This window comes from Homo sapiens, chromosome 1 (genome assembly GCF_000001405.40).
Source record: "Homo sapiens chromosome 1, GRCh38.p14 Primary Assembly".
Taxonomy (NCBI): Eukaryota; Metazoa; Chordata; class Mammalia; order Primates; family Hominidae; genus Homo; species Homo sapiens.
The window spans coordinates 162,155,697-162,177,251 of NC_000001.11; the positions used below are offsets into that span (position 1 = coordinate 162,155,697).

The 21,555-nt window shown below is 43.1% G+C and overlaps 1 protein-coding gene, 1 long non-coding RNA gene and 1 other non-coding gene across 9 annotated transcripts in view; 2 read left to right on the forward strand and 1 right to left on the reverse strand.

Annotated features, from left to right (window-relative positions):
• LOC105371475 (uncharacterized) overlaps positions 1-19,524 on the reverse strand; it is a 61,354-nt gene extending 41,830 nt beyond the window's left edge. For 2 of the 6 annotated variants that reach the window (XR_007066699.1, XR_007066697.1), the window contains exons 1-3: positions 19,062-19,212; positions 16,031-16,168; positions 12,586-12,782 (exon numbers count right to left, since the gene is read on the reverse strand). This is a non-coding gene — a long non-coding RNA (uncharacterized LOC105371475). Of the gene's footprint in view, positions 1-3,215; positions 12,783-16,030; positions 16,169-19,061 lie in introns of those variants that run through there. The other 4 variants (XR_007066696.1, XR_007066698.1, XR_922216.4 and 1 more) reach the window with 4 other exon arrangements.
• Positions 1-21,555, forward strand: part of NOS1AP (nitric oxide synthase 1 adaptor protein) — a 300,785-nt gene that overhangs the window by 86,006 nt on the left and 193,224 nt on the right. The window lies entirely within an intron of this gene.
• On the forward strand, positions 1,411-1,486 carry MIR4654 (microRNA 4654). The gene has a single exon (NR_039798.1). It is a non-coding gene; the product is annotated as a microRNA 4654 (primary transcript).

The window sequence follows — 21,555 nt, forward strand, 5'->3', positions numbered from 1 at the left end:
TCAAATTCTCTTCTGATACCTGTGAAGGAATTTGTCCATGTGCTCTGCACTGGAACAGAATAAATTACCTTGTACTTGTGCATTTCAAAGGTAGGTTTGGGATTGGTGAAATGGATTTTAAGTGTTTTTTTAAAGAGATAATTGGCATTAGAGATGGCATGATTGGTCATCCCTGGATGCAGCCTGGTTTGTTCTTTAGAATAATTGTTCTGTAGAATAATCTACTCACCTAAATGGAAAAACATGTAGGTGATGCTGTAGCTTCATTTTGCTTTGTTAATTTTACTTTCAGCCAGTCCTTCCTCTGGTCAACAGAAACTTGAGTTCAATGACAGCAACGTTGGGAAGAAAATTTGCATGCTTGGGGCTGTTTCTCTGAGCAGTTCATCAGCCTAATAAAATCTTTTCATTGCCTTGATCTTCGCAGTATTTCAGCATTTTTTTATTGTTAAATTAAATTTATTGAGACTGCTATTAAATACAACAGTACTGTTTTTCATGGACACAGTAAGAAGTAGCTTCAAAGCACTTTCACTTGAGTTGTTTCATTCAACATTCACAGCAGGCTGTGAAGTGGGGAACCAGTTACCCTCATTTTCTAGATTAAACTGAGGCTCAGAGGGGTAGGGTGAGGAGTCTCGCAGGTCTGGGAAGGGGCAGGCATGTGGCCTGAATGCATTTCTTCACTCAGTCTCATGAGAACATGCAACTTTCGAGTGTTTCCAGGCCTCTTCTTTTCCTTCACCTTCTAGCTCAGATAGAAAGCACAGAGGCCTCGGCTGGGGAACATCTGGAGGTGTTACAGTTGTTAGGATGGGCTGCTACTTTCACCACAGTTGTGGTTGCTGCTGTGATAAGGACTGGACCTGCAGCTGGCCTGTCCTTGGGGTTTCAACCAAAAAAAGTCCCTTTTTAATTCACTTTTGACGAAGAGATAGGGAATATGTTGTCAGTAATATCACTATCATTATGAAAGTGATATCTCTGTTAATAGTAGCTACTATTAGGAATAGCTACTTATGTGCCAGGTGCTTTGTTAGGCTTTTTAATATTGAAATAATATTTTATTATTTTATTTATTATTTACAACTACTCTAGATGAGGATGTTATTATTACATTTTATAGATGAGGAAATAGAACCTTGGGTGGGTTAAATAATTCTAGGTCAAGTTGCTGTTAGTAGGAAGAGTTGGGATTCATATTCAGGACCGTGCTGGCCCATTTGTAATCCTGCTGAAGGCTCTTTGTGACCCTAATATGAGTCATTACCCCAGCTGAGGAACCAAAGAACTGGGACATGGGACCTCCCCAGTAAGAGAGCCAGTGGCAGAGATACAACTTCATGGAACAAACAGAGGTACAGGAAAACATCACCTGGAAGCAAGGGAAGGCCGAGGCATGGTATGGGGCTGGCTGGTTGTGGGATCTGGAGGCATCTGGGGTTGGAATGTGACCCCAGTCTCCTTTTCCCTCATCATCTGCCAGCCCTTATGGCCCATGTGCCTCTTCCTGTGGCTCCCTTCCTATGTGCTGCTTCCAGTGCTTAATGAGCAGCTCATTAAATTAGAGGGAGCAATTAATTGGCCAGAAAGCTGTTTGGTCTGGCTGTCCAGTCTCTTGTTTAGACTGGCCACCATTAATAGCAAGTGCCGTGGTATGTGTTTTACCCTAAACCCCTCAATTCACTGCTAGGTCCAGGCTGCTATTTTCTTTTCTTCTTTCCCTTTTAAAAGCTGTTGGCTGTAATTACAGCTGTCAAGAACTAGGGCATGGGATTTCTGTGTAAAGGACTATTCTTGACTTTGTCTTTTTATGTAGAACGGTGCCAGGCTAACATTGGGCAGGCTTTTGGTTGCTGGGTGTTCTGATGGGTTCAGAAGACACAGGCCTTACAGCTTGGCTGGAGCAGTGGGTAGACCTTGGAAAACAGCAGTTATGATAAGGATCACATGTGTGTGAGATGTCAACCTCCCTGATCCTGTCTAGAGCACTAAAGGGACAGTTAGTTGATGGGCAGTGAAGATCATCTGTTTCCCAGAGAGAGAAGCATTCAGAGTGAAGGGATCTGTGTGATGTGCCCCATTCATTCTTTGAGCTGGGGCTCTAGCTGGTGTGTGCACTCCTATTCCTTACCCCAGAGAGGACTCTGAGCTAAATATCTGGACTTTGTTTTTCACTGGTGCTTTCCTCTTCCCTCTCTCTATTTCTCATTTGGTCTCTCACCCTCTTGATGGTCTTTCTGAATTTATGTTATCTGTCTTGAGCGTATTTTGCTTTTTTTCCTTTTTAATGTGCTTTCAGTATTTTTTATGGTGGTAAATGTGTAACATTAAATTTAACTATTTTTAAGTGTGAAGTTCAGCAGTGTTAAGTATATTCACACTGTTGTGTCACAGATCTCTAGAACTTTTTCATCTTGCAAAATGGACACTCTATACCCATTAAACACAATTCCCCTTCCCCCTCTTGCCAGCCCTTGGGAACTACCTTTCTACTCTCTGTTTCTGTGATTTTGACTACTTCATATGAATGAAATCATATAGTATTTGTCCTTTTTTTGACTGGCTTATTTCGCTTAGCATAATGTCATCAAGGTTCATCCATGTTGCAGTATGTGACAGGATTTCCTTCCTTTTTAAGGCTGCTTAATATTCCATAGTGTATATATACCACATTAAAACAATCCATTCATTTAACTATGAACATTTTGGTTGCTTCTATGTCTTGGCTGTTGTGAATAGTGCTGCAATGAACATAGGTATGTAAATATCTTTTTGAGATCTTGCTTAGAAATTTTTGGGATATATACCCAGAAATGTGATCGCTGGGTATGGTAGTCCCATTTTTAATTTTTTTGAAGAACCTCCATACTGTTTTCCATAATGACTATCATTTTGCATTACTATCATATCTTCCTTGTTTATTGTTTACCAGAGATTAGAAGCTAAGTGTTAGAACGAAGACCAAACTGCAGGCCTCTGATTCCAGATCTGGTACTTTCCCCCTCTCTGTGCCAACTCCTTGGTATTAGGTTTTTCCATATATTACTCTCTGATCTCTACAATGACCCAGACAAGAAGGAAGCTTAAGGGACACTCCCCAGAACTACAGGATGGTTGTCCTGCTCGCTCTTTGTTTACCAAGGATCCAAAGGTCTGAGAAGTTGCCAGCTGGAAAAGGAAGGGGAAAGTGAGAGAAGAGGGAATATGGCTCCTTTTTAAATTGAAACATGTTTTTATTTTCTTTTAGCTGTATAGCTTAGAACAATTCACAAAGTTTTCAGGGAAGTTCTCCTTGAGCTGGGGATTGGTCTGACACTGGCGCCGCTTGCTTGGAGGTTGCTGGTTGAAGGTGCAGGGTGGCTGGTAATGCTGAAACCAGGTTGCTGGCATTGCACTGTCAGTCCAACTGTGTGAATAGGTGAGTCCAGCAGCCAGATGTTTGGTATGATTTGCATTAGTAAATATGAACACCAGTCTGTCGTTTAACTTTTTAGCTTTCCTGGGAAGGCAGCACTATGTAGTGAAAAGAGCTCTCAATGAGGAATAATGAGAGCCAGACTTGAGTCTTCTCCTTGACTTCATAACCTTGGTGAGGCATGTAACTGCTGTTAATCTCAGTTTCCTCATTTATAAAAGGCAGAGCATGAAATTTCTTGTTCTGTCTCTCTAGTGCTATTGTTGAATCTGGGATGAAGCATGGAAAAACATTTTATAAACCATAAAGTGCTATTTATATTCATTGGTATCATTTTTATGCCTTCCTTTGGGTTTCAAAGCATTTCATAAATGCAGATAAATACCCTGAGAGATACTGAGCTGCCTCATCTAGCCCCTTTTAATAGCTAGCGCCTTTTTTTCAGGTTCCAGTGCAAACATCCCTTCCTTGGGGAGGCCTTTCCTACCTAGGTCATCTTGTCCTCTCATGTTCTGTGGCACCACACCCCTCTTTTTTGTAGCACTGAGAGCAACTGTATTCCCAACATTTGGCATGGTGCCCATCTGTGCTCAGTAAACATTTGTTGAGTGACTGAGAAAGTTAATCTTACTTAATAACCACCTGAGCATAAACCCATGAAATCTGGGGAGGCTCCACCAAGGGGGTTCTGGGGAAGGAAGACAGCTGCACTCAAGTCAGACTTGACGGGTTCTATAGCTTTTTTAAGGATACTGGTGTGGAGAGAGCTGGGCTGCAGTGCCCAGCTCCAGCATGTCACTGGGTGGCTCCTGACCCCTTCATCTTTGGAACCCACTGTTGCTGTGGGAACTGGGGGCTTTCAGTGCTGTCCGTGAGGCTGGAGACTTGATTTCTTGCTCTTAAACCAGGGGATAGATCCCTGCAGTCGAAACGTGGTGCAGCCTCTGGTGGCCAATACAGACCAAACCTGGGAGGGATATGCGCTGTAGCTAGATGACACTCAGGGGTATCTGGTCTCCTGTGGTGGCTCCTCTGGCTGTAGGCTGGGCAAAAACTTGGCCCCACTGCAAATGGTCTTCTAAATGGTCCAGTGTGGAGTCAGAGTTTCCTATTTAACAGTGACTTGGTTTCTCAAGTGTGGCACTCTGGAGTGGTGTTGGTCTTGGCCTTGAACAGAATTCACCGGTGACCAGAAAATGGCCAAGCCCTCCTCTCCCTGTAGCCCTCTTCCAGAATTGCCAACTCTTCCAGAAATTCTCTCAAGAAAAACAAAAACAGAAAAATATAAAATGGCCTTGGATGCTCTCTTGGGAGAACATAACTGAAATGCTCTTAGGAGAACATCCAGGGACTGGTGGACGGGCGGCTTTATGGAGGCAGCGACTGGAGTTGTGAGTGCCGCCTGTCTGCACTTGTGTTTCCTTACCCACCAGCAGTACGCTTCGGCACGTGGTCTCATGCATTCAGCCCTGAAATCCATATTTTACCTCCTCTGGGAGGCTTTGTCCAGGAGTCACTTTATCCCTTTTTATAACTTTCTCCCTAAGTGGCCCCCCTCAGCACCATTTACTCCTTTGTCATTGTTCTCCTTTTCATCCTAAGTTCAGAGTTGGCAAGCCTACCTCAGAACAGCTGAAGTTGTAACACAAACCTCTGTTTCACTGTGTTAGTATGGCTCTATTAATTTCCTATGCTGCTGTAACAAATTATTTAATAATACAAACTTAGCGGCTTAACACAAACTTACAGTTCTGGAGGTCAGAGTCCAAAATGGGGCTAAAATCAAGGAGTTGGCAGGGCTGCGTTCCTTCTGGAGGTTCTAGAGGAGAATCTGTTCCTTGGCTTTTCCAGCTTCCAGAGGCTCCCTAGATTCCTTGGCTCATGGCCCCTTTCCATCCTTAGTGCTGGCAATTTCGTCCCTGAATTATGGCCCCTGCTTTCTGTCTTCACATCTCTTTCTCTGACTCTGACTCTCCTGCACCTCCATCGCCTTTGGTTATAAGGTCCCTCGTTATTAGATTGGTCCCTCCTCATTCTTCCTTCCCCAGTAATCCAGGATAATCTCCCCTTCTCAAGGTCCTTAATTTGGTCACACCTGCAAAGTGCCCTTTGTCATGTGAGGTAACACATTCATAGGTTTTGGGGATTAGGTCATGGACCTCTTTGGGGGGCTTTGAGTCTGTCTACCATAATGGGATTAGAGTGTTAGGCTCATAGCAGGGATTGGAGAGATTCCACCCCCTACTGAGGTACTCCAATATTGGGATCAGGAAGAACTAAATTCAAATCCTGTTTCTTCTGTTTACTAGCTAAATGACTGAACACATTTCTTAATCTATCAGTTGTTCTTTAATCATCAGGAAAATTGGGATAATGTCCTCTTGGCACATGTATTTTACAGTTATACATGAATGCATGCAGCATACTGAGTGAAGTGCCTAGCATGTGGATTATGAACCATAAATAATAGTTCTTTGCCTCCTTTTTTTTTTCCCTGAGATGGGCTCTTGCTCTGTCACCCATGTTGGAGTGTGGCGGCATGATCATGGATCAGTACAGCCTCAACCTCCCAGGTTCAGGTGGCCCTCCTAGTAGCTGGGACTACAGGCATGTGCCACCACACCTGGCTAATTTTTTAAATTATTTGTAGAGATGGGGTCTCCCTATGTTGCCCAGGCTAGTTATTCCTTTCTAATTACTGTGCACTGGAGCAGGGCATTGGGGTCAGAAAACCATATATGTTGGCTGCCAAGCACGCATAAGCACCTGCTAAATGTTAGCTATTATTATTAAATACATGAATTCAGTTGCCTCTAGGGCAATTATTATTTTTAACCAGTCAGTACATCAGTGTTTCTCAGAATGGATTCTGTGGCTCTCTTGGAATTTAGGAATGTATGTTCAAGTGTCTGAGAGTTCTCCATAAGAATTTTAAGATTTTGTTTTTCATTTGATCCTAATGACAACAAGATAAAATAAGCCTGTTCTGGACTGTTGGAAGGGCCGTTGTCTGCCTGAGCACTGTCATTTGAGTTTATCATTCACAGCTGTGTTTGTCTACTTGTTTCTACGTGTGTTGCCATCAAATAGTTCTTCTGTAAGGGTTATGCCCTGAAGAAAAATAACAGAAAATTTTATATATAATGAATTCTAATAAGATGAAGGACACATGACTGCACTTTGCACAGTCATGAGTTATGAATCAAGATTTTTGCGGTCGTTGGAATAGAGAGACGAAAGTAGCAGAAAAATGGAGTTAGTGCATGGTGCACGGTACTGAAGGCGGGGCTGATATGTAGCCATAGTTCCTGAGGCAGCCTCTGGAGTTGCTGATGGCTAGTGTTTGTCCTGATAACTCTCAATGTCTTTTCTGATTTGTTGGGACTGTACCATCCTGGCTGTCAAATTTCTGAGTATCACCCTGTGTATTCCTCTGCCAAACCCAAGAGAACTTGGGGCAGGTAGTCACTGTATATTCCTGTTGTGAGCAGTGATATCATTTCAGTTACAAGGACAAAGTATTCTCTGACTTTAACATTCTTAATTTGTTTTGGTTACATTATTTGTGTTTAATTTATAAATTTATGTAAACCCTGTAAGTAATTTCTATCTAGTTTTATGCTTTACATATTTAAATGATGTAACAGACATCATTTGGAACGCTTCTTTGGGTAACAGCTTTTTGAGGTATAATTTGCATACCATATAACTCGCCCATTTAAATATACAATTCAGTGAGTTTTAGTATATTCTTAATGTTGTATAATCATCACCACAATCAATTTTCAAACATGTTTGGGGCGCGAACCCCAAAAAGAAACTCTATACCTCTAATCCATCATCCCTGATTCCCCAACACCCCTAGCCCCAGACTACTACTAATCTACATTCTGTCTCTATGGATTTGCCTGTTTTGGACATTTTAAATGGCATCATACAATATGTGGCCTTTGGTATTTGGCTTCTTTCATTTAGCGTAATGTTTTCAAGGTTCATCCATATTGGGACATGTATCAGTACTTCATTTCTTTTTGTTGCTGAGTAACATTCCATAGCATGGCTATACCACATATTATTTATTCATTTAAACACGGGGTGTTTGCCAATTTTTTTTTCTTTAAAAGGGGCCCAGACTTTATTAAATTTTAGAAAACACTTGATAGGGATTGAGCAGCGTGTGATGGAATGATTAGAACTGTCTTCTCAGTCAAAGGAAACAAATCAATGCTTTCTTAGGGGGCGAGGTATTCTCATCAATATAAAGAGCAGTGCCCAGACAGCAGGACCTAATTTTTTTCCCCACTCATTTGAAAAAATAAATTGACTTCCCTTTTTGAGCCAATACTTTTTGAGGCTCTGGGGATACAGCAGTCTACAAAACAAAGTCCCTGTCTGCATGGAGTTTATAGGGGTGGGTGCTCTTTTGCACAGACTGTTGCGGAAGGCTTCTGGGTTCTGATGACACTTGAGTCTCTAGAGATGTGAATGGAAAGAGGGAGTGAGCCGTGTGGGTATCTGGAGGAAATGTTCCAGACAGAGGTCAGCAAGTGCCCCAGGTCACCATTCCTGGGGGGCAGGAATGGGCTTCGCAGGTTCAAGAAATGGCAAGAAGGCTAGTGTGAATAGAGACTTGGGAGCTTGAGGGAGTGGTAGATTATTTCTAGGATTTTATTCCCAGGAGAATCACACCTCAGGAGAATCTGGTTTGCTAAGTACCTACTGAATACATAATGAAAAATACATTTATCTTTTCCTGAATCTGCACCAGACTGAAAAGTCACTCAGTAGGAGGAGTTTGGTTCTGCTCTGGAAGTGAAGTGATTTGGGAATGATTTTTAAACTGGGGCAGAACTGCTGAATGCATTATCTGTCAGCAGAGAAGAGTTAGTAAGAGCCAGGAGTTGTTGTCAAAGCAAAACAGATGCTATCTTTTAAATAAGGTGCTTTGCTTTATTACAGTTATTTATGCTCAAGAGTAAGAAATGATGTTATTGAGTTTCCACGGGAGGATTTGATATTGCCCAGCTCAGTCCACAGTTTCTTGCACTGACACACCTCATGTTTGGGAGTCCTCTGAAGCCAACAGTGTTTATCCATTGTAACAGGATGATATGCAGAATGTCAGTTCCTCGCTACTACACTAACCACCCTTTAGGGACCCTTTGGTTCATGTTCTTGGTGTTGGCAACAGGTTGCATTGAGCATCTACTCTTTGTTTTGATGACTTCTATGGCACACATATGTATATGCACACACACAACATAATTATCATTTTAATCACTTGTAAGTGTACAACTCAGTGACATTAAATACATTCACAATACTTTGTATCCATCACCACTATGTATACCCCAATGTTTTTCATCCTTCCTAAGATGAACTCTGTACCCATTAAACAATAGCTCTGTTTTCCCGTAGCCCTTGGTAACCTCTGTTCCATCCTCCATCTCTATGAATTTGCCTAGCCTAGAAACCTCATATAAGTGAAATCTCATGTATTTGTCCTTGTGTGTCTGGCTTATTTCACTAAGCATAATGTTTCTAAGGTACATGCATGCTGTGGCATGTATCAAAAGTTTATTCCTTTTTATGGCTGAATAGTATTCCCTTCTGTGACCTTTTGGTACTCAGCACATGACACAGGGTCTGGTGTGTGGCAAGTTTCCTCTTGGAGCCAAAAGCAGCATATTATAGGACAAGGACGGAAAGCCATGGCAGCACACACTGATGATCGGATCTGCTGGGAGCGCAAACCTCTTTGATTCCTGCTGAAAGGCCCTGATTTCTCACTTACGAAGCACTTTCTAGTTGTTTAAGTGAATTTTCATATCCACTGTCACCTAATGTTAGTCTTCAATAATCCCATAAAAAGCAGGCGTTATCCTTATTTTACAGGTAAGGGTCACATAAAGAAAATGACTCCCTTGCCTGGTGTGGTGGCTCACACCTGTAATCCCAGCACTTTGGGAGGCCAAGGCGAACAGATCACCTGAGGTTGGGAGTTCAAGACCAGCCTGACCAACATGGAGAAACCCTGTCTCTACTAAAAATACAAAATTAGCTGGGCATGGTGCCGCATGCCTGTAATCCCAGCTACTCAGGAGGCTGAGGCAGGAGAATTGCTTGAACCCAGGAGGCAGGGGTTGCGGTGAGCCAAGATTGCACCATTGCACTCCAGCCTGGGTAACAAGAGCGAAACTCTGTCAAAAAAAAAAGAAAGACTTCCTCAAACTAATTACATTGTTGTTCTTATCAACATTAACCAGAATTGAGTACAGACTGCACTATGTGCTGTTACTGTGTCGGGCTCCATGCAAAGCACTTAACAAGATTTGTTACTTTATCCTTATAACAACTCTGTGTGGTGTAGGTGTAATAATTATCCCATTGTCCAGATGAGGAAACTGAGGTACCAAGAGGTTAAATAACTTGCCATAGCTCGCAGAGGTGGTAAGTGGGGAATCTAGGATTCACTTCTAAGCTTGAACGTGGTATGGTTGTGGTATGGAACCAAGGCAAGACTCCAGTCTGCTTACATCTGACTCAGAGATCCTACAAGAACATGCCGACTGTCCCTGTTTAACCAAATGTCAGTCCAGGCAGCATTGTCTGTGTCCCTGATTGTGCCTTTCTCTAGTCTGGGAACACTGCCAGGCAGTGTATGTCACTAGATGTAAATAAGGCCATTATTTGATTTTATGAAACTCTTTTTGGAGGTTGAGACTTGTATATTCTGTGTGACACTCCCATTTGGATATCCCAAAGGCACCTTAAATTCAATATGTCAAAAAACTGAAGTTATCATTTCTGCAGTCTCTCCTTTTTGCCCTGAAAAAGAACATGCACTTGTTTTTCATATTTCCTTATCTCTTGGAAAGACATCTTGACCACTCAAGAATGTAAGCTGGAAACCTCAGGGTCACCTTTCTTCTCTGTCACTACCCCTGGCTTAGGTCACCCTTACAGATGTGCCTCTTAAATATTTTTCAATCGTGTCTCTCCCTATTCCTTCCTACCAGTGCAGCCCCAGACTGTTGTGTTTCATAGACAGCTGCCGCAGTGCCCTCCAGACTGCCACCATGCCTTTGGCTGTGCCCTCCCACCATCCTCCACACTGCTGCCTGGCTCATCTGTATAAGGATGATTCTGTAGGCATTGTCCTACTTAAAACCATGTGGTGATTCCAGGCTTGAGTCTGAACTCAGAGCAAGGCACATGGCATTCTGCCTGGCACCTGAGGCCACAGCAGCATATTATAGGTCCGCTGTGCCTTGTGCCCTGAGTATGTCCTGTTGAGGCCACTTCTATTCCTCCTCTTCCTTCTACCTGGGAAGCACTCCCTTCCCATTGCGGCTGAAGCCTGTCTCTTCAAACCTCAGCCCAACTTCTGCTTATCTTCCAGAGCCTATTTGAGCTTTCATCCCTTCTAGAAGCTTTCCCTGATGTTGGCAGAGTAGTTTTCTCTTCTTTTGTGTTACCATTACACTCTAGAGAGACCTTTGTTTCTGCATGCATCACAGTGTATTTGTCTTTTTGAAGGCAGGGACTCTGACACTCATCTTGACAGCAAAGGGGTGAATTACTCAACTGTCAATTCTTTTGTAAAATGGACAATGTCAACCCTGTTAGAAGTAAATGCAATAATGGGTGTCACGTCCTTAGCACCGTGCCTGGCCCATAGTATATACCCAGTGGACACCTGTACCTCCTCTCCACATCCCTGTTGCATGGTGACTGGGCCCAGAAGGCAGCTAGAATTGGCAACTCAAGCCCTTTTGGTCAGGATCCTTTGCTGGGTGGAAGCTCCTCGCCTACTAATGCGGGTGCCCTGTGGCTGAATCTGGTGAATCCATCAGGTCCAGGTTGAAAACTACTGAGCAGAGCCCTGCTGCCTCTGGGTATTCTGTTCACCACCCAGCCCTTTTGCATTTAATGAATGTAAAAAATAATGGGGCAGCTGCTGTTCCTTACTCTCTCTTCCTGCTGCACTAAGTCTCTGCCTCCCTGGAGAGGCATTTAACCGCACGAAGGTTTATGGTGGAAATGACAAATTGCTTCTTCACAACGAGCTCACCCTGCTTTCTAACCAGTTGGAATCACCCTTGTTCATGTAATATTAGCAATTTACCTGTCTCCTTAACCACTAACCATCCTGAGAGGATTTGGCATTCTTTGCAGCTGTTAATCCTCTCATCACCTGAGGGCTTATTAAATAGGTGGAGTGTACATCTAGCCTTTCTCCTACAGTGAACAGTCATTCATGATCTTTTCCTTTTTACTCAGCCTCTCTCCTCAGCTGCCTGAGCCCAGGATAAGGCAGGGTCCTCCCCTCTAGAGGCCACAGCGGAGAGAGCTGGGCTCTGGACCGGGGAGTCCCCGGTTTGACTCCTTGCTTGGTCAGGACTTCCTCAACATAATCGCCTGGCCCTGGTGCCAGGGTGGTTGTGGGGCTGAGGGAGGTGCCTGTGCAGCCCATTTCCCTGTGGAGGTCAGTTGCCCCTTTCCTTTCCCTTCATCAGGCTCAGGCCATCCTTGGGGCAGCCCTGCTATCTGAGGGGGTCTCTCCCGAGCCGCTAAGACATAGTCCTCATTCATATTGGGTGTTGTTGACAATCATCCCATCCTCTGCTGCTTCATTTTGTGACTTGTGGACCCAAGTGGGTCTTTGTTTATCCTGATCCAGGAGAGCTGGGAAGGGAGACAGTTTGAATTGCTCCGGGCATATGTTACTTGTTAATATTTTAAAATTTGACTTGTTGCAGTTTTTCAGAGGTATTAATCTAAAAGCCATTTCATGGAAAAAAGCAACAAGGAACTGGTTTTATTTCTTTTAGGTGACACTAATAACCAAACATGAGACACATCAGAATTTAAGTGGCTAGTCAAAAAAAAAAAAAAATACCAGTGAAAATAGCAAGTCTACATTGATGTTAGTTGTTATATAACAGGCGCTGTTCTAAGCGTTTTGCCTGTAGCAACTCACTGAATCCTCATAATTACTTTATGAAGAGGAGATTCAGTAACCTGGTCACATAGGCAATGAATGGCCAGGATTCGGGCTCTAAAACTGGGTCTCCTGACCACGACGATCCCTCTCTAGGGCTGATGGAGATCATCACTAAATCACCTCCTTTGGGATTCTCTGCTCGTTGGAAATGGAGTGTTACCTGCAGAGTACTGCTGTGACCTCTCCTTTAGGCCTCTCTGTGCAGAGACTGCAGTAGTCTGTGTTAGTGCTGTCCTGTTGAAGCTGGTCCACACTTTTCTGGACTTCTGGTTGAGCCAGTCTGCTCAGATACGAACTTCCAAACGAACCTGTTTCTCTTTGGTCCTCAGCCAGGCTTTGTGACATCAGCTGCTACAGCTGTGGAAACAGTTGATAAACAGGGTCAGGCTGCTCAGAGGGAGAATGTGGCAGTAGGGTCCCTGGCAAGGGTTGCCTGCTCACTTGGAAGGGCAAAGGCCTAGAAATCCACGCGCAATTGATGCACAAGCTGTCATTGTGCTGAGGCTTGTGGGCAGGGGGGTGTGTTTCTCTTTCCTTCTCCCCTTTTCTTCCTCTCTTTCCCTTGCTCTCTTTCTTTCTTCCTCCTTCCCTTCCTCTTTCCTTCCTCCCTTTCTTTCTCCTTTGAAAAACTAAGATGAGGTCCTGGTAAAGATAGTACATAGAAGAGAGGCTTCAAGCCTCAAAAAGTTATTTCGATAATATAGTAAGTCACTGCTCCTTATTAAATAAGAGGCCTAAGGGGCTGAGGTGGTGAGGGATTGAAGTGAAGTCTGGCTTGGTTCAGGCCTGAATACCCAAACCAGGCCAGCTTTGGGTTGGGTTGGCTCTGCCTGGCATGAGGAGACATCCAAGGATTCCGTCTCCCTCAGAGAGCCATGCTGGGAAATCTTCTAAGCATTGGACTTTGAGGTTAAAATAAAGAGTCTTGCACCCTTGGCGGGGATTTCTGAAAGATTGATGGGATTCTAACTGCCTAACAGTTCCATTTCCAGATGAGCGCCCTCCGTGCATGGGCTTTGCAGCAGCTCTCTGCCTTTCCTTGCCAAATGACCCTATTTGATCTGGAGCCCTGGCTTGACTTTTCTCTTCAGCATCTGCTGTTTTCTGACCAATCCCACACCTTCCCCTGGTTTTCTCTTTTACAGAAATCCTTTCTTCCAACTTGATTAGATTTCTTTGTTGGCTTGCACATCTGGTCTTCATTTAGTAGGGATGACACTTAATTGAAGTAAGAGTTTGGCTGCCTTTAAATTTAACAACTGCACCCTGCTGGGGGTGCTAATGAGGAGTCAGTAGCTGAATTGTTTATTGAAAGAGATCATATTGATTTGTGATTTTCACTTAAGAAATGCATTCCCATACACCCCTGCATTTAGTTGCTTAGCTGGGCACTCAGACAGCTGCTTTAAGAATCCAGTACCCTTGTCTCTGGAGAGGCGTTTCTCCTCAGTGTGCATGCAGTACTACTGTATGCACGTGGCATGTGTCCATCTGTCCTCACAGAGGAGACTGTGCATTGGTAGAGCTGGAGGGCTCCTGTTGTCCACCCAGCATGCCACTTTGAACCAGCTCCTAAAGCATGAGGTCCATCATGTCTCTATTCAAAAACTTTCAGTGGCTCCTCATTGCCTGTGAATGAAATATGGAATCTCAGCGGGCGGTCAGGGGCCTCCCAGTCTGGCTTCACTGTGCCTGTCCAACTCATTTCCTATGATTGCCATGCAGAAACCCAGTTCTCTGGCCACACCGAATTTCTTACAATCTTCCCATTCACTTGGCCATTCTGCCTTTATGTTTTTCACTTTCTCTGGAATTTCCTCCCTCCCTTTCCTGCCTGTATGGTCTCAGTTCTTCAAAGCCCATTTCAAATGAAAACCTTTGCTACGAAATCTTCCCTGATTCCTCTCACCTATAGTGCACCCCTTTGAACTCAGACACCCTCTCTGTATTTCTCTTCAGGTATTTTAGCTCACTTTATGTTATAATTGTTTTTATGATTGTTGTTTATTCTTATTCAACAGAGTCACTACCTGAGAGCAGTGACCTTGTGTTGGTCACATGTGTCCCCTGAAGGATACAGCTCAGTGCTTGGGGTAGTAATAATTGATATTCTTGAGTGCTCACTACATGCCAGTTCTATTCTAAGCACTATACATGTATTCATCTTGGTTGATCCTCACAAAAGCCCTTGGAGGGAGGTACTGTTATTAGCCCCATTTTACAGATAAGGTAACTGAGATCTAGGCTGAGTAACTTGTCTAAGGCTACCCAGGTAGCAAGCAGCAGAGCTGGGGGTCCACCTGGGCCTTCTGAATCCAGGCTCTCAACTAGTAAGCCACATGGCTTCTTTCATTAGGTACTTGCTCAATACATATCTATCAAGAAAAGTTGTACTGAAGTTAAGAGATATAGGGGAGCAGGAATAGGTTAGTTTAAAAACAAGGAGAGGGAAGAAGAGAAGGAAATTAGAATGGGCCAGTAGGAAAAGAAAAGAAAGGAGAAGTGCTAAGAAACCAAGGAACAGGCCAGGCGCGGTGGCTCACGCCTGTAATCCCAGCACCTTGGGAGGCTGAGGCATGTAAATCACTTGAGGTCAGAAGTTCGAGACAGCCTGACCAACATGGAGAAACCCTGTCTCGACTAAAAATACAAAAACTAAAAATACAAAAATTAGCCGGATATGGTGGTGTGCACCTGTAGTCCCACACTCAAGAGGCTGAGGCAGGAGAATCGCTTGAACCAGGGAGGCGGAGGTTGCAGTGAGCTGAGATTGTGCCATTGCACTCTAACCTGGGCAACAAAGAGTGAAACTCCATCTCAAAAAAAAAAAAAGAAAAGAAACCAAGGAACAGAAGAGACAGGCAGCTAAACGGGTGGAGCTCATCCTGCAGGGAGGCTTGGGGTTCATGCTTTTGGATTTGGGGTGGGGTCCAGGGCCTCTGGGATGCCAACATGCTGGGGAAGACACAGGGGCTGTTGGTCACTGTACTTGGATCCCAGCACACTCAGCATTGTTGCTGCAAATACTCCAAGTGTGACTCAAGGCTTTTACCCAAAGGGATGGAGCGGGAGGGTGCAGAGATCAAGATCCTCATGCTCCTTTTCTGGGAAGGAACCTGAGGCATGAAAAGGTTGTGGCTTGCTCTGGATCCCACAGGGCAGCAGTTCTGGCTAGAATTCAGGTCGTTTGTTCTTTCTGCTTTAATTTCCTGCTTTATAAGGAATGGCACATGACTTTCTCTCCCCTTGCTGTTATTGGAAAGGGTTATGTAACCCTGGTGTCATGGGGCTGCTCATCATGGTCTTGTATTCTGCCTGCATCTCCTAGATCGTATGTCTCCCTGCCTCAACTGCTTCCACTTTGGTCCAGTTCTCAGCCATCTCTTCCTGCCTCAGTGGCTGGCTTCTTCCTGTGCTTTACTTCTGTACTGGTCTTCACTCCTGCTAAAGTTGCATTGTCTAATCTTTGTCTCAGCCATCCCCACCCCTGAACTTGGAGCCTTTGGGGACTAAGGATCCTGTAAGTGAGCTCTTAGGCCCTCACCCTTTATTAAGGTCTTTCATCAGGCTCTCCAGCCTCTCTTTCTGAACTCATCTCCTCTCACCTAACTTCCCAGTTTGGGCCTCCACTCTTCTCTGGAGAGTTCTTTTCATCTAGTGGCATCTCTTCTCTCTTGTCATGCTTCTCCTCATGGCCATAGAACAACCAGCTGTGCCAGCCTCTCTCCTTTCATGGAATCTCCCTGTGCAATAAAGGAAAGCTGAGGACATTCTCCCATACCACCCTTTTTAGGCCATATATTTCCTCCTTAAGCCACCTTAACCCGTTAAATGGAAAGGTGTCATTCCCAAGAAAGCCACTTAGCAGCCCCAAGGTTGGGGCTTCAGCCAGTGAGATGCTTGATGGTATTAGATGGGAAGATGCTGAGTTGCTCAGTGGGAGAAACTTCCCCAGGCCTTACTCAGCCTACCCACTATCTTTTACCCATCACCAGTAAGACCTCTCTGTAAAGCAAACCAGAAGTCCAAGTTCAGATGAACCCATGACGGGTTGTGGGGAGAGGGACAAGAGGAGACCCAAGCACCCACCAGTAAATGGCAACTAAAGAGGAAACTTGTTGAGCCTATACTGGAGAAGAACACATCTTAAATTTTCACATTTTGTGGGTGGTAGGGTAGCTGTAGCAGTAGAAACATACATTATGAGCATCTTGGCTTTGTCTGAATTTTGAGAAATGGCAGTCACAGAGACTCTTCTATATGCATATCATCCCTTGACACAAAAGAATGGCTATCCCAGTCTGGAGTGGGGGATGTGGGCCTGTGAATGGGTGTGCCCCAAGTCCACATGATGGCTTTGCTATTGAAACCCTCTAGATGGCCATGACTCTGTGTTGCCAAATTACTTAACATTGCAAACTAGTGGCCTACAGGAATAATCTTGATGAGGCGGGTGGTTTAAGTGGAATGTCAGCAGGTGGTCATTGGAGATTATTGTCATATATCACTATTTTCTGTGACCCAGCCAACTCTTTGGTATATGTATGTGCTTTCCCTTCTGTCAGGTGAGGAAAGGTTTTTTTTGTTGTTGTTTGTTTTTGTTTGTTTGTTTGTTTGTTTTCATCTCAAGGTTTTGCATAGATTAACCAATGGATGGTCATGAATCATTTAAATATGAATCATTTAAATAACTATGCTGATGTTGAGACTGAGCCTTGAGATTCTGCTATTCAGGCAGCAAACTTCTCTGCCTGCTAGTTGAGTGTTATTCTTAACCAAACACAAGTTCACCCTTGCTCAATAGGAGGTTTTTTTTTTGTGATGGGGTCTCAGTCTGTCACCCAGGCTGGAGTGTAGTGGCGCAATCTTGGCTCATTGCAACCTTTGCTTCCCAGGCTCAAGTGATCCTCCCACTGCACACTGCAGCCCCCTGAGTAGCTAGGACCACAGGTGGGTGCTACCATGCCCAGCTAATTTTTTGTGTATGTTGATGCAAAAGTTATTGCGTTTTTGCCTTTGAAAATAATGGCAAAAAGCGCAATTACTTTTGCACCCGTCTAATATTTTTGACGGGGTTTCACCAGGTTGCCCAGGCTGGTCCTGATCTCAGGTGATCTGCCTGCCTCAGCCTCCCAAAGTGCTGGAAATATAGGTGTGAGCCACCACAGCTGTCCTCCACTCTCCTCCATTTATTAAATAGGATTCCCTATTTAATAAGTGGTGCTGGGAAAACTGGCTAGCCATATGTAGAAAGCTGAAACTGGATCCCTTCCTTACACCTTATACAAAAATTAATTCAAGATGGATTAAAGACTTACATGTTAGACCTAAAACCATAAAAACCCTAGAAGAAAACCTAGGCAATACCATTCAGGGCATAGGCATGGGCAAGGACTTCATGTCTAAAACACCAAAAGCAATGGCAACAAAAGCCAAAATTGACAAATGGGATCCAATTAAACTAAAGAGCTTCTGCACGCAAAAGAAACTACCATCAGAGTGAACAGGCAACCTACAGAATGGGAGAAAATTTTTGCAACCTACTCATCTGACAGCTAATATCCAGAATCTACAATGAACTCAAACAGATTTACAAGAAAAAAACAAACAACCCCATCAACAAGTGGGCGAAGGATATGAACAGGCACTTCTCAAAAGAAGACATTTATGCAGCCAAAAGACACATGAAAAAATGCTCACTGGCCATCAGAGAAATGCAAATCAAAACCACAATGAGATACCATCTCACACCAGTTAGAATGGCAATCATTAAAAAGTCAGGAAACAACAGGTGCTAGAGAGGATGTGGAGAAGTAGGAACACTTTTACACTGTTGGTGGGACTGTAAACTAGTTCAACCATTGTGGAAATCAGTGTGGTGATTCCTCAGGGATCTAGAACTAGAAATACCATTTGACCCAGCCATCCCATTACTGGGTATATACCCAAAGGATTATAAATCATGCTGCTATAAAGATACATGCACACGTATGTTTATTGCGGCACTATTCACAATAGCAAAAACTTGGAACCAACCCAAATGTCCAACAATGATAGACTGGATTAAGAAAATGTGGCACATATACACCATGGAATACTATGCAGCCATAAAAAATGATGAGTTCATGTCCTTTGTAGGGACATGGATGAAGCTGGAAACCATCATTCTCAGCAAACTATCGCAACGACAAAAAACCAAACACCACATGTTCTCACTTATAGGTGGGAATTGAAGAATGAGAACACATGGACACAGGAAGGGGAATATCACACATTGGGTACTGTTGTGGGGTGGGGGGAGGGGGAAGGGATAGCATTAGGATATATACCTAATGCTAAATGATGAGTTAATGGGTGCAGCACACCAACATGGCACATGTATACATATGTAACAAACCTGCACGTTGTGCACATGTACCCTAAAACTTAAAGTGTAATAATAATATAATAAAAAATAAAAAAACTTTCTATTATAAAACAGTTTTAGGTTTACAGAATTATTGCAAAGATAGTACAGAGAGTTCTTGCATACCCAACACCCAACTTCCCCTATTATCAGCATCTAATGTTAGTATGGTACAGTTGTTAGAATTAATGAACTGATATTGATATATTCTTATTAACTAAAATCCATACTTGTTCATATTTCCTTAGTTTTCCCTTAGTGTTCATTTTCTGTTCCAGGATCTTGTCTGGGACCACATTTAGTTCTTATCCTCCTTAGGCTCCCCTGGACTGTGACTGTTTTTCAGATTTTTGGTGATCTTGACAATTTTGGTGATCTTCACAATTTTGAAGATTACTGGTCAGGCCTATTTTGTAGAATCTCCTTTAACTGGAATTTGATGTTTTCCTCATGGTTAATATGTTTTTGGGAGGAAGACAGAGAGGTAAGATGGCATTCTCATCATATAATTTGAAGGGTACATACTATCATTATGACTTATCACTGTTGATGTTAACCTTGATCACCTGGCTTGAGATAGTATTTGTAAAGTTACTGTTTTTCTTTCCATGAAGTACTTTTTGGGGAAAAAAAAAAAAGTCGTTATGCATGGTCTGCACTTACATGCACTTACAGAGTGGAAAGTTTTGCTCTACCTCCTTAAAGGCAGTTAAAACAGTTAAAACAGTTATGTCAAGTATTTGGAATTCTTTTGCATAGATTTGTCTGTCCTCTCCCATTTATTGCTTTATTCAGTCATTTATTTATTTTTATCAGTAAAGAATCATGGATATTTGTTTTATACCTTGTATTATAAGTACTTCTTTATTTCATTGCACAAATTGTTTTAATGTGGCTGCTAAAAACTCTTTGATTTGGCTCTTGTATCCCCTTGCCCCATCATTGTTTGTTGTTTTGAGCACGTTTTAACTTTCTGGCACTACACAGTACTCCAGGCTCATCTGGTGTATTTCCTGAATCCAGCATTTCTGCAAAGAGCCCTGACTCCTTTTGTTGAAGGCATGGAGTTAGATAGCAGGATCGGAGGTGTGGGGGTGGGGGCGGTCGGTTAGTTGCTGCTGGAATGTGTTTGCATCTAGGCCCTCTCAGCAGATAGAGCAATGAAATACGTGTGTATGCTACCTCTTTAATATACAAATACCCATGAATATTTCTATATGTAGCCATCTATATTAAGCCAAACATGAGTTTGTAGTGATGTCTGCAATTCTGATCCATATTACATAAATCATTCTAGCTTCCTCCCTTGCTTATCTGTAATATCCCCCGCAAGCAGTTAGAAACCTAGCTACCACCACCCATTTGCTTAATTGTTCACTTCCAGTGTACGCGTACAGTAGTATCAGAATCGTTAACCCATACCCCCATTGGAAACAATTTTTCAGCTCTAGTACAGTGCTTATGTACAGTTCTTTTTGCCATTAGTTTGTACAGACTCCACTGATTTCTAAGATAACTTCTGTTAGCACCTTACTGTCTCACTTCTTCAGTGAGATTATTTCATACATTTGTAATACATTTAGATTTTTGGGGGTCACATTTTACATTCCATCCTGGGATCCTTGGCCTCCCACTCAATGATTTTTTTTAAAAAATTTGCATGCATTTAGGTTTACTCTTGTGCTATAAAGTTCTGTGGGTTTTTGTCAAATGCTTAATGTCCTATACTTACATTACAGTATCATACAGAATAATCTTACTGCCCCAAATAGTCCACTGTGCTTCATCTATTTAATTCCCAAACCCTATCCCCAAACCCCTGGCAACCACTGGTCTATTTACTATCCCTATAATTTTTGCTTTTTCTAGAATGCCATGTAATTAGAATCATAGAAAATGTAGCCTTTTCAGACTGGTTTCTTTCACTTAGCAGTATGTACTTAAGATTCATTCATATCTTTTTGTGGCATAATAGCTCTTTTTTTTTTTTTTTTTTTTTTGAGATGGAGTGTTGCTCTGTTGCCAGGCTGGAGTGCAGTGGTGTGATCTTGGCTCACTGCAACCTCTGCCTCCTGGGTTCAAGCAATTCTCCTGCCTCAGCCTCCCAAGTAGCTGGGACTACAGGCGTGTGCTACCACGCCCAGCTACTTTTTGTATTTTTTGTAGAGACAGGGTTTCACCACATTGGCCAAGATGGTCTTGATCTCTTGACCTGGTGATCCACCCACCTTGGCCTGGGATTACAGGTGTGATCCACTGCGCCCAGCCAATAGCTCATTTTTTATTGCTGAACAGTATTCCATAATATGAATGTACCACAGTTTTTTCACTTACCTATTCAAGGACATCTTATTTCCAGATTTTGATGATTACGAATAAAGCTGCTATAGCGATTCATATGCAGTCTTTTATGTGCACATAAGCTTTCAAATTAATTGGATAAATGCCTAGGAGAATCTGCCTCATTTGAGTATCTGCCTTTCAGCATCTACCTCCTCAATTCTACCTGGACAATGTCAGCACACTCTAAAAATTGGTAGTTCTGCTGCTGAGCTGCCCATATACTGACCTGTTTTCTTCTCTGCCTGTAAGTGGTAAGCATTGACCACCCTTCTTGCTGAGAACTTTAAAAATTTTAATCCAGGAGGTGATATGGGGGAGGAGGGTGGATTATGTGATTTGGAATAGCCCTGGAGTCAGGGCTTAGCTGAGCCCCAAGGATTA